General features: G+C 41.0%; 1 long non-coding RNA gene across 1 annotated transcript; it reads right to left on the bottom strand.

Annotated features, from left to right (window-relative positions):
- Positions 1–277: 277 nt before the first annotated feature.
- Positions 278–12,567, bottom strand: LOC105378412 (uncharacterized). Its single transcript, XR_946171.2, has 3 exons — positions 12,482–12,567; positions 2,605–2,715; positions 278–1,068 (listed from the first exon to the last, which is right to left on the bottom strand). It is a non-coding gene; the product is annotated as an uncharacterized LOC105378412 (long non-coding RNA).
- Between the last annotated feature and the right edge of the window lie 1,859 nt (positions 12,568–14,426).

Here is a 14,426-nt window from a genome sequence, read left to right as displayed (position 1 = left end):
GCAATCCAAACTGTTTGTCAGGAAAATCACATTCACGCTGGGCTGGTAGGTGAGAAGAAGCAGCGGCTGCTATTTTGCAATGCAGATGTAAAACACTTCCTGGAAATGGAAATAAAGCAAGCAAGGAAGCATATCTTCTAGGGAAATTTGATCTGTTTCATGTGTAAAAGACCCTAGAAAAAGGATTTGCAGATGTGGAAGGCCTTAGAGCATACAAATGTGAGTGCGAAAGTTGTCTAGAGGTTAACAACTCAAAGGATCAGGGTATATGAAGATTTTATAGCCTAGATTTAAAATCTCTTTCTATTTCTGCTGTACTCAGTTTCCCAGTTCAATAAGTGTGCATTTATAGACATTCCACAGGAGAGGAATGACATTATTAGAGTTCAATGAACACTAATGGCAAGGATTTTTGAAGAAACATTTTATTTGTAGTGATACCTGCCCTTACAGCAGGGCATGAGGGGCCACTGTCCCAGCCTTTCCTCTCCAGCCTCCCCACCCCCTCCACTTTGAAGCACCTTTCTTGAAATTCTTTTTTTCTTTTTTTTCCCTAACATATTCAATTTATCCAACTGATCCTTGAAATTTTCTAAGTCCCTGTCAGTCTGCAATTCAGACCGGGACCCACTTGGCCACATCTCCATTTTCTCCTCTGTGGAATGATCTCTGGCTCTCCAGCCCTCTGCCCCATATGTGTGAGGTCAACCAGATGCCCCAGGAGCTCTGGGGCTTAACCTATGAAGCTTTCCTAGGGGCCTGTGGCCTGGGCCCAATTTCAGAGAGGTGGCCTGAATTGCTCCTGCCTGGGTTCTTTCATGAAGTCATGCCAGAAGGGACCCAGGATTGCTAGAATAGTACTGGGGAACTAAAAAGACAAACAAAAAAACCACAAGTGTTTTTAACAGCCTCACTGAAGTATAATTCAGATAGCATACAATTCATCCATTTAAAGTGTACATCAAATAGTTTATATCAAAAATATTTACCAGGCCTTGCGTCTTCCAGAGGTGTCCTTGCTTATAGATGAGAAATGTTGAAATGAGTGCGCAAGTTGAGGCAAAACGGCTTTTTCCAGGAGTAAGAAAGAAAAGTTGGGTGAGAGGAAGGAGAAGATTGAAAAACTACCTATCAGGTACTATGCTTATTACCTGGGTGATGAAATAATCACACCAAACCCGTTGACACAAAATTTACCTATGTCACAAACCTGCACATGTACCCACCGAACCGAAAATAAAAGTTGGAAAGAAAAAAATAAAATAAAGAGAAGTCAATTGAACCTCTACCAGACAAGACAGAATCTGTGTCTACAGACAGGAATTATATTACATTGTTATCAATTATCTACAAATTACAAAGTTGTTAAAATTGCTCCCATACATTCCGAATCATACAACCTAGAGGGGTTATCCTTTAGAGTGTAGAACACTTTCAGCACACTTTGATTCTTTGTCAGCCTTTCCTTGTAATATTGATGATAGTAATTACAACTGAGTGCCTGCTGTGTACAGGCAATGCACTAAATGCTTCAAAAACATTATTTCATGTAATTCTTAGAAGAGCTTTATGAAGTAAGTATAATCATCCTCATTTTACAGATGATAAAACTATGTTCCCTCATGTGACAATGATGGGAGTGTTGCCTTCTCTCTTTGGGAACATAAGGACCAGATGAGAGCACTAGCTTGATGGCAAGGTCAGCTTAAAACACCCCAAGAAATGTGTTTCAAAATTCACTGCAGGTAAAACTGTCAGGGCTATATATTGAGTTTCATGGGCCTTATGTTCTCAGAGGGAAGACAACACTCCTATCATTGTCAATCCAGCAAGTGGCACAGAATTCACAGCCAGGTCGAATGCCAAAGCCCTTGCTCTTATCCTGGGATCTTCTCCTTGGGCTACTTTGTCCCTCTAAGTAAGTCTGCTACTGGGGGTTCAGCTTTACCCAAAATCATGACTACAGGCCGGGCATGGTGGCTCATGCCTGTAATCCCAGCACTTTGGGAGGCCAAAGCAAGAGAATCACTTGAGCCCAGAAGATCAAGACCAGCCTAAGCAACATAGGAAGACCTCGTCTCTACAAAAAATTTAAAAATTGGCTGGGTATGCTGATATGTGCCTGTAGTCCCAGTTACTCAGGAGGCTGAGGTGGGAGTATCACTTGAGCCCAGGAGGTCCAGGTTGCAGTGAGCTGTGATAACCAGTGTACTCTAGCCTGTGTGACACAGCAAGACTCTGTCTCCAAAAAAAAAAAAAAAAAAAAAAGCAAGCAAGCAAGAATGAAAAAAAAGTTAGTGACTACAGGATATTCAAGAGCCCTAAGCCAGTCCCACCATCTCCAGCCATTCATGCCTGTCTTGGTAACTGGGCTCCTGGCTTATTGCCTATGATCACATCATGGCCTTGTCCCCATTTTCAGGCAAGGCACCCTATGTAGTTCCCCACTCACTCTCTCCTGTTGTTGTCCCACCCATACCTCTATTCCTGCTTCAGGGACATCAGCTGATGTATCAGCCCATTTAGAACTCAGGGGGCTCATTCTTTCTATCTTCAATTTTTCAGGGACTCAAGTTTTGTCCATTTGCCTTCTCCTGCGCTTACCTGCTGGCCTGGGCTTCCTCCTTGTATGTAGTATGGGATTTTCCTCTAGGCATGTGCTTGTTCCAGGCCTGGCAACCCTCCTTCCAAAAAAGCCCTTCTTCTCAGACTCTCCTGTATTAAAATTCAAATGTAGATATTTCTTAGTTACTATCCTTCTCTCCTCAAAAGCACAGTAATCTCATGCCAAATGCCACGCTCAGGTATCTGCTTCTACTGTCTCTCCTATTGCTGCCAGCCAAGACTTGTAGGGAGAGGAAAGGGAAGGGGCAGGAAGTAACAATGCCCTTTATTCTCTGTTTTGCTGACTTCTTGCTCTCCTCAGCAGGAGGCCCCAGTGGTAACACATGGTTAGATCCATTGCGTTGAGTGATATTATACTACAGGAAGGAACGGTTATCTGTGTACAAAACATGGGCAGGTATGTAATTTCATGTCCTGTGAAACAATAGGAATAGAGCTTAAGAGTAAATCTTGGAATTTTCTCAGTTCTGGAAACTTCTATTTAGCCAATTGAATCCAGCCAAATGTTTCCTGGCTCAGGTCCCACTCACCCAGTGGGTGAAAAGCCTCTTGAATTCCTAACTACTTCTCAGCTCACAGGCAGAACTCTTTTGTAGGCCTGATCAATAAAGAAACCACATCTTTGTCAGGAAAGCCAGCCCCTGTCAAATTCTTCTGAGCTTTCTAGCTGGGTGAGAAATGATCCTTTCCGGGACCCTCAGTTTAAATGATTCCTCCTCTCTTTATGCTTCATACAACTTTGTTGCTGGGCTATAATACTTGTTAAAGTCTGTTTTCCTTCACGGTTGTTTATTTACTCTTCACTAGATTGTGAGTTCCTGCCTTACTCATTTTTATATTCCTGGGAAGCCTAATCCAGCGTAATAACTAGGGTCATGAATGAACTGGAGCTCTGAAATACAGAATACTGGCAAGAATAAGAAAAAGGCAAGGTCAATACAGACACCATTTAGACCTAGTCACTGGCATTTCTATAAGAACTATGGATTCTGAGATAACACAGGAAATCTGTGATACAGTTTAAAGAATTGTTTTGGAAGAGGCAGCACACAGTCCAAATTCTTGGAGCTCAACTCATGATTTCTGCAATCCATGTCTTTTTTAAAAGTAGTTTTACAATTAGGGAAGAATATGGAGTCACTTAGATTAGCTTTCTGTATGCAAAAGAAGGACAATAAGTACTATAGTGTTTGTTAAAACGTATTTTTCTTATATTTGAATCACTTATTTTATATTAAGGGTATTTTTTAAAAGTTCTTATTTAGGAATTCAGAAGGATCTAATAGTCAATGTCTATCTACATACTCAGTTGGAACCCATCGTTATTATTAATACACTTGATTCTTAAATTTGTACCAAGACAATGACATAAGATCTCACTTGCATGTGCTGTCCTCCAAAGAGTGGTAGATGCACATTTTACAATGTAGATTAAAAAACTCCCAAGGAAAACTTCATCTAAAGCAACTTTTATGCCCGCAGGTGCCCGGGAGAAACAAATGCAAATATTTCCTAGACAATGTGCCCTCAGACGAGGCCTCAGGCAACTCCCAGAGAAAGCACAACATATCTGGGCTCACAACTTTGAAAAAAATAATCAAGAAACATTCAAGAAAATCAGCTACCATAAATGAGAGACAGTAGAAAGAACAAATGATAAAAACACCCCCATAAGGACTTCACGTATTAGAATCACTGGATAAAACATTTAATATCCTAGCAGAAATAGAAGTGATGACAAAAGAATAAGAAGTTATACAAATGATCAGTTTCGAAAAAGAATCAAATGGAACTTCTAAAACTGAAAAATACAGAGGTTGACCTAAAAAAAGGAATAGAAGCATCAAAGATCAGAATAGCCCTAATTGGTACTGAAACAGAGACCACCCAAATGAAAACAGAGCCCAGGTATTTGGAGCTCGCTATAGAACAAAGGAGTCAGCCACCACTACTTGAGTTTGGTAAGCAAAGTCTAAGGCAGGCAGGGGAGTGGGAATGCTTTCCACTGACAAAAAGTGAAGGCTGCGGGTGTCCTCTGATTGGAGGCTTTGGTGTTGGGGCAGTTAGAGGTGGGCTAACTAGAAGTGAGCATTTCATGTGATGGGTTTGGAGCGGATGTCTGGACTTCTCTGGTTAATCAGTTGGAGACCAGAGCAAAAAAATAGGAAAATTGGGTCTGATCATGGTAGCTCAAACCTGTTATCCCAGCACTTTGGGAGTCTGAGGCAAGAGGATTGCTTGAACCCAGGAGTTCATGACCAGGTCGGGCAACATAGCAAGACCGTCTTAAAAAACAAAACACAAAAAAATAAAAAATAAAAAAGTAAAGTTGGCCATCACTGATTAAGTCTTGCCTGTTCTGGACAGATTGCTACAGAGATTGTGGTTTGGCTGCTGGGGCTTCTCGTGTGGATCAGAATCCTATTTTGTGTGGTCTGGCCATTGGCCTTTGTACATTCAGTCTCTCCCTGGTGAAGAAATGGTGAGCTAGAAGACTAATCTGAAAAAAGTACTCAGAACGCAGCCCAGAGAGACAATGAGATAACACAGAAAAAAAACAGTGAGATGGGGAGGGTAGCAGGAGAAGGGCCAATTTATGTTTTATCAGATTTCTAGAGTGAAATAAAGGAGAGAATGAGTGACACAAAATATTCAAAGAGATAAAGGCTGAAAGTTTGTCAGGACTAATGAATGATTCAGGTTTAGAAGGCCGAATAAATCCCAAGCAGCAGTAATATATGTAGATGGGAAAAATGTTCATAACATAAACATTGCCCATGGTAAATATAAATTAATGTTTCATTTTAGGGGTAAAAAGAGTAAGAAAGAAATAAAAGGCTGGACAATAATAGTATATACCCTAGAGGTGGCTGTTTTGAGAGTCAGGCATTCTAAGGTTTTTTTTGTTTGTTTGTTTTTTGTTTGTTTGAGTCAGAGTCTTGCTCTGTTCCCCAGGCTAGAGTGCAGTGTCATGATCATGGCTCACTGTAGCCTTGAATTCCTGGGCTCCAGTGATTCTCTCAGTTCAGCCTCCAGAGTAGCTGTGACTACAGTTGCCTGCCACCACACCCAGTGAATTTTTAAACATTTTGTAAAGATTGGTGTTGTCGTGTTGCCCAGGCTGTTCTCAAACTCCTGGGCTCAAGCCATCCTCCTAGCTGATCCTCTCAAAGTGCTGGGATTACAGGTGTGAACCACTGCACCAGGCAAAGTACTTTTAAAAAGTGAAATGTATTCACCAAATTTATACTTTAAGTCTATATGTTAAATTCCAAGAATAACCACCAAAATGATAAAGGGGAGTTTATTAAGTATTAACTCACATGATCACAAGGTCCCACAATAAGACATCTGCAAGCTGAGGAGCAAGCAAAGCCAGTCCAAGTCCCAAAACTGAAGAACTTGGAGTCCAGTGTTCAAGGGCAGGTAGCATCCAACACAAAAGAAAGATGTAGGCTGGGAAGGTAGGCCAGTCTAGTCTTTTCATGTTTTTCTGCCTGCCTTATATTCTAGCTGCCCTGGCAGCTGATTAGATGATGCCCACCCAAATTAAGGTTGGGTCTGCCTTCCCCAGCCCACTGACTCAGATGTTAATGTCCTTTGGCAACACCCTCACAGACACACCTAGAATCAACACTTTGCATCCTTCAATCCAATCAAGTTGACACTCAGTATTAGCCATCACAACCAATAAAACTGAAGAGCTGACACTTCTTTTTTTTGAGACGGAGTCTCGCTCTGTCACCCAGGCTAGAGTGCAGTGGCTCAATCTCGGCTCACTGCAAGCTTCGCCTCCCGGGTTCACGCCATTCTCCTGCCTCAGCCTCCCAAGTAGCGGGGACTACAGGCGCCCGACAACACGCCCGGCTAATTTTTTGTATTTTTAGTAGAGATGGGGTTTCACCGTATTAGCCAGGATGGTCTGGATCTCCTGACCTCGTGATCCGCCCATCTCGGCCTCGCAAAGTGCTGGAATTACAGGCGTGAGCCACCCCGCCCGGCGAGCTGACACTTCTAATACTTCCTAGTACAAGCTTTTCAGAAAAAATTAAGTCCTCTTTAAACAACACACAAACTTGAGCTATGAAAAGATTATTTTGTAAATTAATGTTTGGAAATGTTTTCATTGTCCTGTAGTCTTTTTTGTTAAAATTACAAACATGTAACACCTTTTAAAAACTCTCATAGTTGCACTTTTGAAAACTGGGGGAAAAAAAAAAAGAATTTGCTAACTTGTTTCAAAAATCTTCTAAAGGAAAAGCTTTACCGGGTTTAGTATATATGTTACAAAGAAAAAAATGCAATACCTTATACTATTGGTTTGCAAGAACAACTCAGACAACATAGAAGGTGGAAACTCGCCAGCCAGATCTCCAGCCAAACATTTCCAGAATTGATGGAAGTGACAGAAAATGATTAGTAAAGATAGACAATGATTCATTTTTGTATATGATCTATGAATCTTTTAAGTTATCTTTTCAGCTGTGACATACATTAAAAACCAAGTATTAGGACCTATAGACCCATGGAATGAAAGTGAAAGTCCAAAAAGAAACACGTGTATTTATTGTCAGTTGATTTTTGGCAAGGGTATTATAAAAATTCAATGGGGAAAGAATAGTATTTTCAACAAATGTGCCAGGACAACTGGCAATCCACACTCATAATAAATTTGAACCCCTGCTACATACCACATTACAAAAATTAACTCAAAATAGATAGGGATCTAAATGTAAGAGCTAAAGCTATAAAACTCTTAAGAGAAAGTATAGATATGAATCTTCCTGACTTTGAATTAGGCACTGTTTTTTTAGATATGATACCAGTAGCACAAGCAACCAAAGAAAAATAGGTATATTGGACTTCATCAAAATGAAAACTTTTGTGCTTCAAAGGTCACTATCAAGAAAGTGAAAATAACCCACAGAATGGGAAAAATGTTTATAAATCATATATCTGATAAGGTCTAGAAGCCAGAATACATAAAGAACTCATACTACTCAATAATTTAAAGACAAATAACAATTTAAAAATAGACAAAGAATTTGAATAGATATTTCTCCAAGAAGATACATGAATGTTCAATAAGCCTGTGAAAAGATGTCCAACATCATAAGTAATTAGGGAAATATAAATCAAGCCACAATGAGATACCACTCATATCCACTAAGATATCTATAATCAAACAGACAGACAATGACAAGTAATGGCAAGGATATGGAGAAATTAGAACCCTCATCTATTGCTGTTGGAATTGTAAAATGGTGCAGCCACTTTCTAAAACAGTCTGGCAGTTCCTTAAATGGCTAAACATAGAGTTAGCATATGACCCAGCAATTCCCTTCCTAGGTATATACTCAAGAGAAATCAAAACAAATGTCCACACAATAATTGTACATAAGTGTTCACAGCAGCATTATTCACAATAGCTAAAAAGTAGAAACAACCTAAATGTCCATTAACTAATGAAGAGATAAGGAACTTGTGGTCTGTCCACACAGTGGAATAGTAGTTGACCATAAAAAGAAATAAAGTACTGATATATGCCACAACATGGATGAATCTCAAAAACATTGTTACATGAAGGAAGCCAGGCACAAAAAGCCACATATTGCATGATTTATGAGAAATGTCCACCATAGGCAAACCCACAGATACAGAAAATAGATACGTAGTTGCCAGGGGGTAGGGGTAGAGAGGAATAACAGTGACTGTTAATGAATATGGGTTTCTTTTTGGGGTGATGAAAATATTATAAAATTATAGTGTGGTGTTTACATAACTTTGTGAATATGCTAAAAAAGACCCTGAAATGAAGCCTCAATTAAAAAATGTTTTAAGAATATTGCAATAAAATGAACTGGTCCAAAATTTTGGACCAGTATCAATGTATCACAGTGATGAATCATGGTTTTTTTTTAAAGAGAGAAGTGCATTTAATCAAATTACTCTTTAGCAAAAGCAGTTGCTTTTGCACTCTTACTAGTTTTTATGTCATTTTAAGATAGTTTAATCTTTATCTTATCCTTTGAAATTTAATTCTGGCTTTTTATTGTGCATAAATATTAATATAGTAGTACAGACAGATAATTTGTAAATATATAAATATATATTGGAGATCTATGTGCAAAGTTTTCATTGATGGGGGATGCAACCAACAAAAGTTTCAGACCATTTCTTGTTAGGTATCTTTACATGACAGTCAGGGAAGAAACTTAGGGAAATTAATGTAAGAAAATCAGCAAGAGGTGGGGATATCCCAGATTTTATCTTATATTAAGAATACTGAGGCCAGGCGTGGTGCGTCATGCCTGTAATCCCAGCACTTTGGGAGGCTGAGGCAGGAGGATCATTTGAGCCCAGGAATTCAACAGCAGCCTGGGCAACATAGCAAGATATCCCCTCTACAAAAAATAAGAAATTAGCTGGATTTGGTGGTGCACTCCTTATAGTCCCAGCTACTCAGGAGGTTGAGCCAAAAGGATTGCTTGAGCCCAGGAGGTCAAGGCTACAGTGAGCATGACCAAACCACTGCCCTCCAGCTTGAGCAACAGAGTGAGACCCTGCTAAAAAAAAAAATATATATATATATATATATATATATATACTGACACGAGGCATGGAGTTCAGGCCTGGTAGCTCATGCCTGTAATCTTAGCACTTTGGGAGGCCAAGGCAAGCAGATAGGAAGTGAGTCCATGAGTTTGAGACCAGCCTGGGAAACAGGGTGAAACCCTATGTCTGCAAAAAATACAGAAAGTTAGCCACGCATGGTGGCACGTGCCTGTAGTCTCAGCTACTTAGGAGGCTCAGGTGGGAAAATCACCTGAGCCCAGGAAGTTGAGGCTGCAGTGAGCCGGGATTGCACCACTGCACTCCAACCCTGAGAAACAGGAGTGAGACTCTATCTGAAAAAAAGAATACTAAGGTAATTTGTGTACATGATTAAAATAAAGAATAGCTGGGTGTGGTGGCATATGCCTGTAGTCCCAGCTACTCAGAAGGCTGAGGTGGAAGAATCACTTCAGCCCAGGAGTTGGAGGCTGCAGTGAGCCATGATCACACCCTTGTACTCCACTGCGGGTGACAGACCTAAGACTTTCTCTCTAAAAAAGAAAATAAAAATAAATCTGAGGGCACTTACTGGAAAATTCTCTAAAGTTATATATATAATTTATAGATTTTTAACTCACTTTAATTCTTCATCATGTGGTAGCAATTTGATACCGAGCAAATTTCCATTCTGTGTTGCTCCACAGAAGAGGGTTATACCTTAGTATATCTATGTGCTAAAAATACCACCTTTTAAGAATAATGTTACAGTTCTTTCTTCAGTCATGTCCCCGACTGCCAGTGAGGCATTGGCACCCTTTACCAATTCGGCTAATACTGCGACGTCGTCTGGACTAGCGTCCAATTTCTTTTCCCAGCTTGTCCTGGAAAAAAACAGTAGTGTCCCTGTAGTCTGCGATCTGCTTCTTCAAATGTTTGCCTGACCTCATTATCCAGAACACTCTGTAAATGTAGTCTGCTACACAGCCCCGAGTCTGAAGGGGCAGGATACTCCCTTGAATGCAGCAAAGCAGAATAGAATGATCTGTCTAGCCAGGCTTGGAAAATGTAGTTGCCAGGTTGCTACTGGTTTAAAGAAAACACATGAGAACTGTGCTAGCCACAACCCTCTGCTCCTGAAACCCTACTGTGAAAACTGCAATACAGGGACCAAAAGCCGAGAGGAAAGTTTTGCTGGCATACCTACCTGATCTCTAGATGTTCTTTTTTTGAGACAGGTTCTCACTGTATTGCCCAGGCTGTAGTGTAATGGCACAATCATGGCTCACTGCAGCCTCAACTTCCCAGGCTCAAGTGATCCTCCTACCTGAGCCTCCCAAGTAGCTGGGACTAGCGGCACATGGCCACCACAATTGGCTAATTTTTCAATTTTTTTTTTTGTAGAGATGGGGTTTCACCATGATGTTGCCCAGACTGGTCTCAAACTTATGGACTCAAGCCATCTGCCCGCCTTAGCCTCCCAAAATGCTGGTGTTACAAGCATGAGCCACCATGCCCAGTCTGCTTTTTCTGCTTAGGAAGTGCTTATATTTTTTGAGAAGCCACAAAGCCCAAAGCCAAGCTGCACCCACCTCCCCAAAGTGCCAGCTAGTTGGCCTATAGATCAAATGTATTTCCTTTCAGAAGGGTGATGTTGTGGAAAGAATACCCAAATAACTGTGTTTAAATTCCTAGTCTTCCACTTCCTGGTTTTGGGGAAGTCACTCAACTTCTCTGATCCCTGGTATTCTCATCAGTAACATGGAGATAATAGTAACTACTGCAAGTGGCTGTTGTACATGTGAAATAAGAAAATATACCTGAAAATAACCACTGTGTTTGGTATACAGTATGTATGTTAGATTTCTGTTTTGGGAGTCAGGGAAACAGGATCTGGGATGGCTTCTTTATGAACCCACAAGCACTATGGCTGACACTGTTGATGTGGCTTATCCAACGGGCAAATATTCATACACCTTTCTTCTCGGAAGAAACACTGGTTTCATTTGGATGGCGTTTGAGACTTGCTTCCCCTGAAGGCAAAGTCTGAGGCAAGGCAAGTATGTGGGTGTTTATTTGAAAGATGATCCAGGGACCAGAAATGAGGGACTAGGGAGACAGGTCAGAGAAGGAAGAAAAGCCAACAGAAGGGTGTGTTATCAAGGTCACGGCTGTGGACACTGGAGCTCAATACCACCAGGACCTTCCAAGAATCATGTGGCATGCCCTTGAAGGATGGGCCCCAGGAGTACTCCTCCATCAGTTCCCATCTTGACTGGTCAAAGTTTCCCTTCCAAACTGTCTATGTCTACCAGCTGATTGAGTGCCCAGTGGTGCCTGTAGCTTCTGGGAAGCCCAGGAGAGAAAGCAAGAGGCTTAAAGCAAAAGGCTACCATGGAGAAGTGAGACAAAGCCCACATGAGACTGTCCTCCCAAACCAGGACTGGCTAGATAATTTCCAGGACCCAGGGCACAATGAAAAGTTAGGGCTCTTTGTTAAAAAAAAAATTAATTTCTAAGCGGCATGAGCAGAACATTAAACCAAGCCCAGAGCCCTTCTAAATGAGAGGCCCTGTGAAACTTCACAGGCCCCATTCCCCAAGAAGCCAACCCTGACTCCAGCTGGGGCTGGAATTAGAGACAAGGCCAACGTGAGTGAAGTGCCAAGGACGTAGACATAAGTAGCAATGTGCCCAGCATGAGAGGATGAACTAAAATTGGTATAAGCCCATATGGCAGTCTCGTTTCCCTTCTACAGGGATGGGGGTAAGATGCTCATGTTCTGGCTAATAAGATATAATGGAAAGTCTTCTGAAGGGTGGTAGCCATAGAAAGGCAAGAAAAGCAAACACTTTTTTTTGTTCCCTTTTCTCTCCTTTCTGCTAGAAAAGCCGTTCTGTGAGGACATAATGCTGGGAGCAGCAGCAGCCATCTTGTAGCCATGAGGGTAGACACTCCTGCCACACTGAGATAGTGGAGTGGACAGAAAGGAGAAGCTGGGGTCCTTGAGGACTTTGGTTAGCTGCTGGGCTCACCCTGGGACCACTGCTTAGGGAATTCCTGCTTAGTAACACTAACTGTCCTATGGGTAAAGCCACCAGCAGCCAGAAGCATTTTTAACTTATACAACTGTTAAGAAACATTCCCACTGTCTTTGGTATTACAATTGCATTGATCTTTGAAGCAGAGCAAAGACTGCTCTCTATAAGCATGCCTTGACTAGGCCAGGGCAAACAAAGAATTAAATTAAGGAAGTAAATGGTCTCTGCTACTGACTGGTAGAGGAAAGCCCCATCTAATTTACCTTCCTTCTTTGCATAATCCGTATCCTTTGCCTCTAGTTACTTTCCAACTGTCACCCATTGGGAGGGGTGTAAGGAGGGAAATGGCAGTTGGGGCCTCCATGCCCACACCACTGGGGGACTTGAGCCATTGATTGATTTATCTTATTTTTCTAAGATTAAGCTGTTTAAATTTTGTAGAGCACATTGTTGTATTTGACTGTCCTGAATTGTCTTCATCTGGCAGTGCATTTCATTTTACTTTCAAGAACTGTTCAGCTGCTTTGCATGTAGTCTTAGGGAGACTTTAGAGTCAAGGCGCATAGTCCTCCCTTGTCGAAATCAGGGCACCTAACTCAGAGGCCAACTGGACTCTCTCTCCAGGAAATCTGAATCTCAGTGGCAGCACCCTAAGTGGACTATGAGTTCTTGCTGTCTAGATTCTGGATGGTTCAGAGTTCCTGTCCTTGCTGAAGCTCATTCTTAGGTTCTCTGAGCCATCTCACATCCCTATTTTATATATATATATATATATTTGCCTGTTAGCTACAATTTCTACTGCATGCCATTGAAGAATAAAAGAACAAACTTTAAACCTAAAATTTAATGGAAACGGAAACCTCAAATAAAATCATTATTTAGCTGCTTATAAATCAACTCTTACTTTCACATATCCTCCCATATTAATTGAAGGCATAATAGTAGATTTATTGTAAAGCTGGCCCCAATCATACAAACTTCCCTGTGTGCAAGCACTTTGCAATGTGACTTTGTAGCTCCTCCAATGAAGAGGTGGAGTCTGTGTCCCCACTCCCTTGAATATAGGTTGGCCTCATGATTTGCTCTGGACAAGATGTTGTAGAAGCAACGATGTGTATTTCCAAGCTTAGGCTTTGGGAGGCTTTGTCTGCTTCTGGTCTATCTATTGGAACCCTGAGACCGCCATGTGAATAACCCCATGCTGGCCAAGAGACCACATGGAGCAGAGCTGAATTCTATCCATGGCCATCCTAGAATAGCCATCTGGCTGACTCCCAAACCTGTGAGAGAGCCCACCCCAAAATCAGAAGAACTGCTTACAAATATACTACAGCTGACTGCACTTATATATGAGTGAGTCCAGCCACAATTAGAACCATTTGTTTAATTAATAGACTCTTGATCCACAATAAATGGTCGTTGTTTTAGCCCTTAGTTTTGAGATAGTTTTTATTATACAGCAATAGCTAATGACTAGCCTCTAAAGCAAAAAAGGCACTGAACTAGTATTCAATCATTATTATTATATGCTTATTACATGCCTTACACTATGTCCATATATAATTGCTTGTGGAAATTCTCATGGAAACCCATAGGTTATGTATTTGTTTTTAAAATAATGCAGCTCCTCTCTACTTGCACGTAGTTGGGAAATTTATGTAATACAAGAATATTTGTTTTTGCCTGGAATTAGCCCAGTCTGTCATGTTGCCAAAACCAGGGGAAGACTATTTTAAGAAGAGTGTTGAGAGAGGTTATTGTGGACTTTGGGCAGAGACTGTTCCTACCATCTCTCTTATTTAGCACAGTGTCTGGTGCATGTTTGATACGTTGAATGGAATATTTAAGTCTTCTAGTGCAAGCCTGGTGGTTCTATTCAAGACCAGAGTAATCCCAGGTTTGTGAGCCAAATCAAAAGACATCCAAAGTGCTCAGAAAGCTTGAGGTACTTCTATGATCACTTGGAAAATTCTAAAACTGACTAACCATTTAGAACAAATGTGTAATAAGGGGATCAGTTCAAGACATTCAGGTTTCAATGAAGCAGTTTACTTCACAGACTAGAAGGGGAAAGTTGGGTAATGGGTATGTTTGATTCACCCAGGCTTTAAAATAAACCTTTGCAAAGCTGTGTTCTAAGCTGGTGTATAAGGCCAGTGGGTTGGATAGTACAGTGGCCCACTTAAATAGATGAAAAGTATAAATACA

Source organism: Homo sapiens, chromosome 10 (genome assembly GCF_000001405.40).
Source record: "Homo sapiens chromosome 10, GRCh38.p14 Primary Assembly".
NCBI lineage: Eukaryota > Metazoa > Chordata > Mammalia > Primates > Hominidae > Homo > Homo sapiens.
The sequence above is the reverse complement of the archived record's forward strand: the minus strand, read 5'-3'. Positions and strand labels throughout refer to the sequence as shown.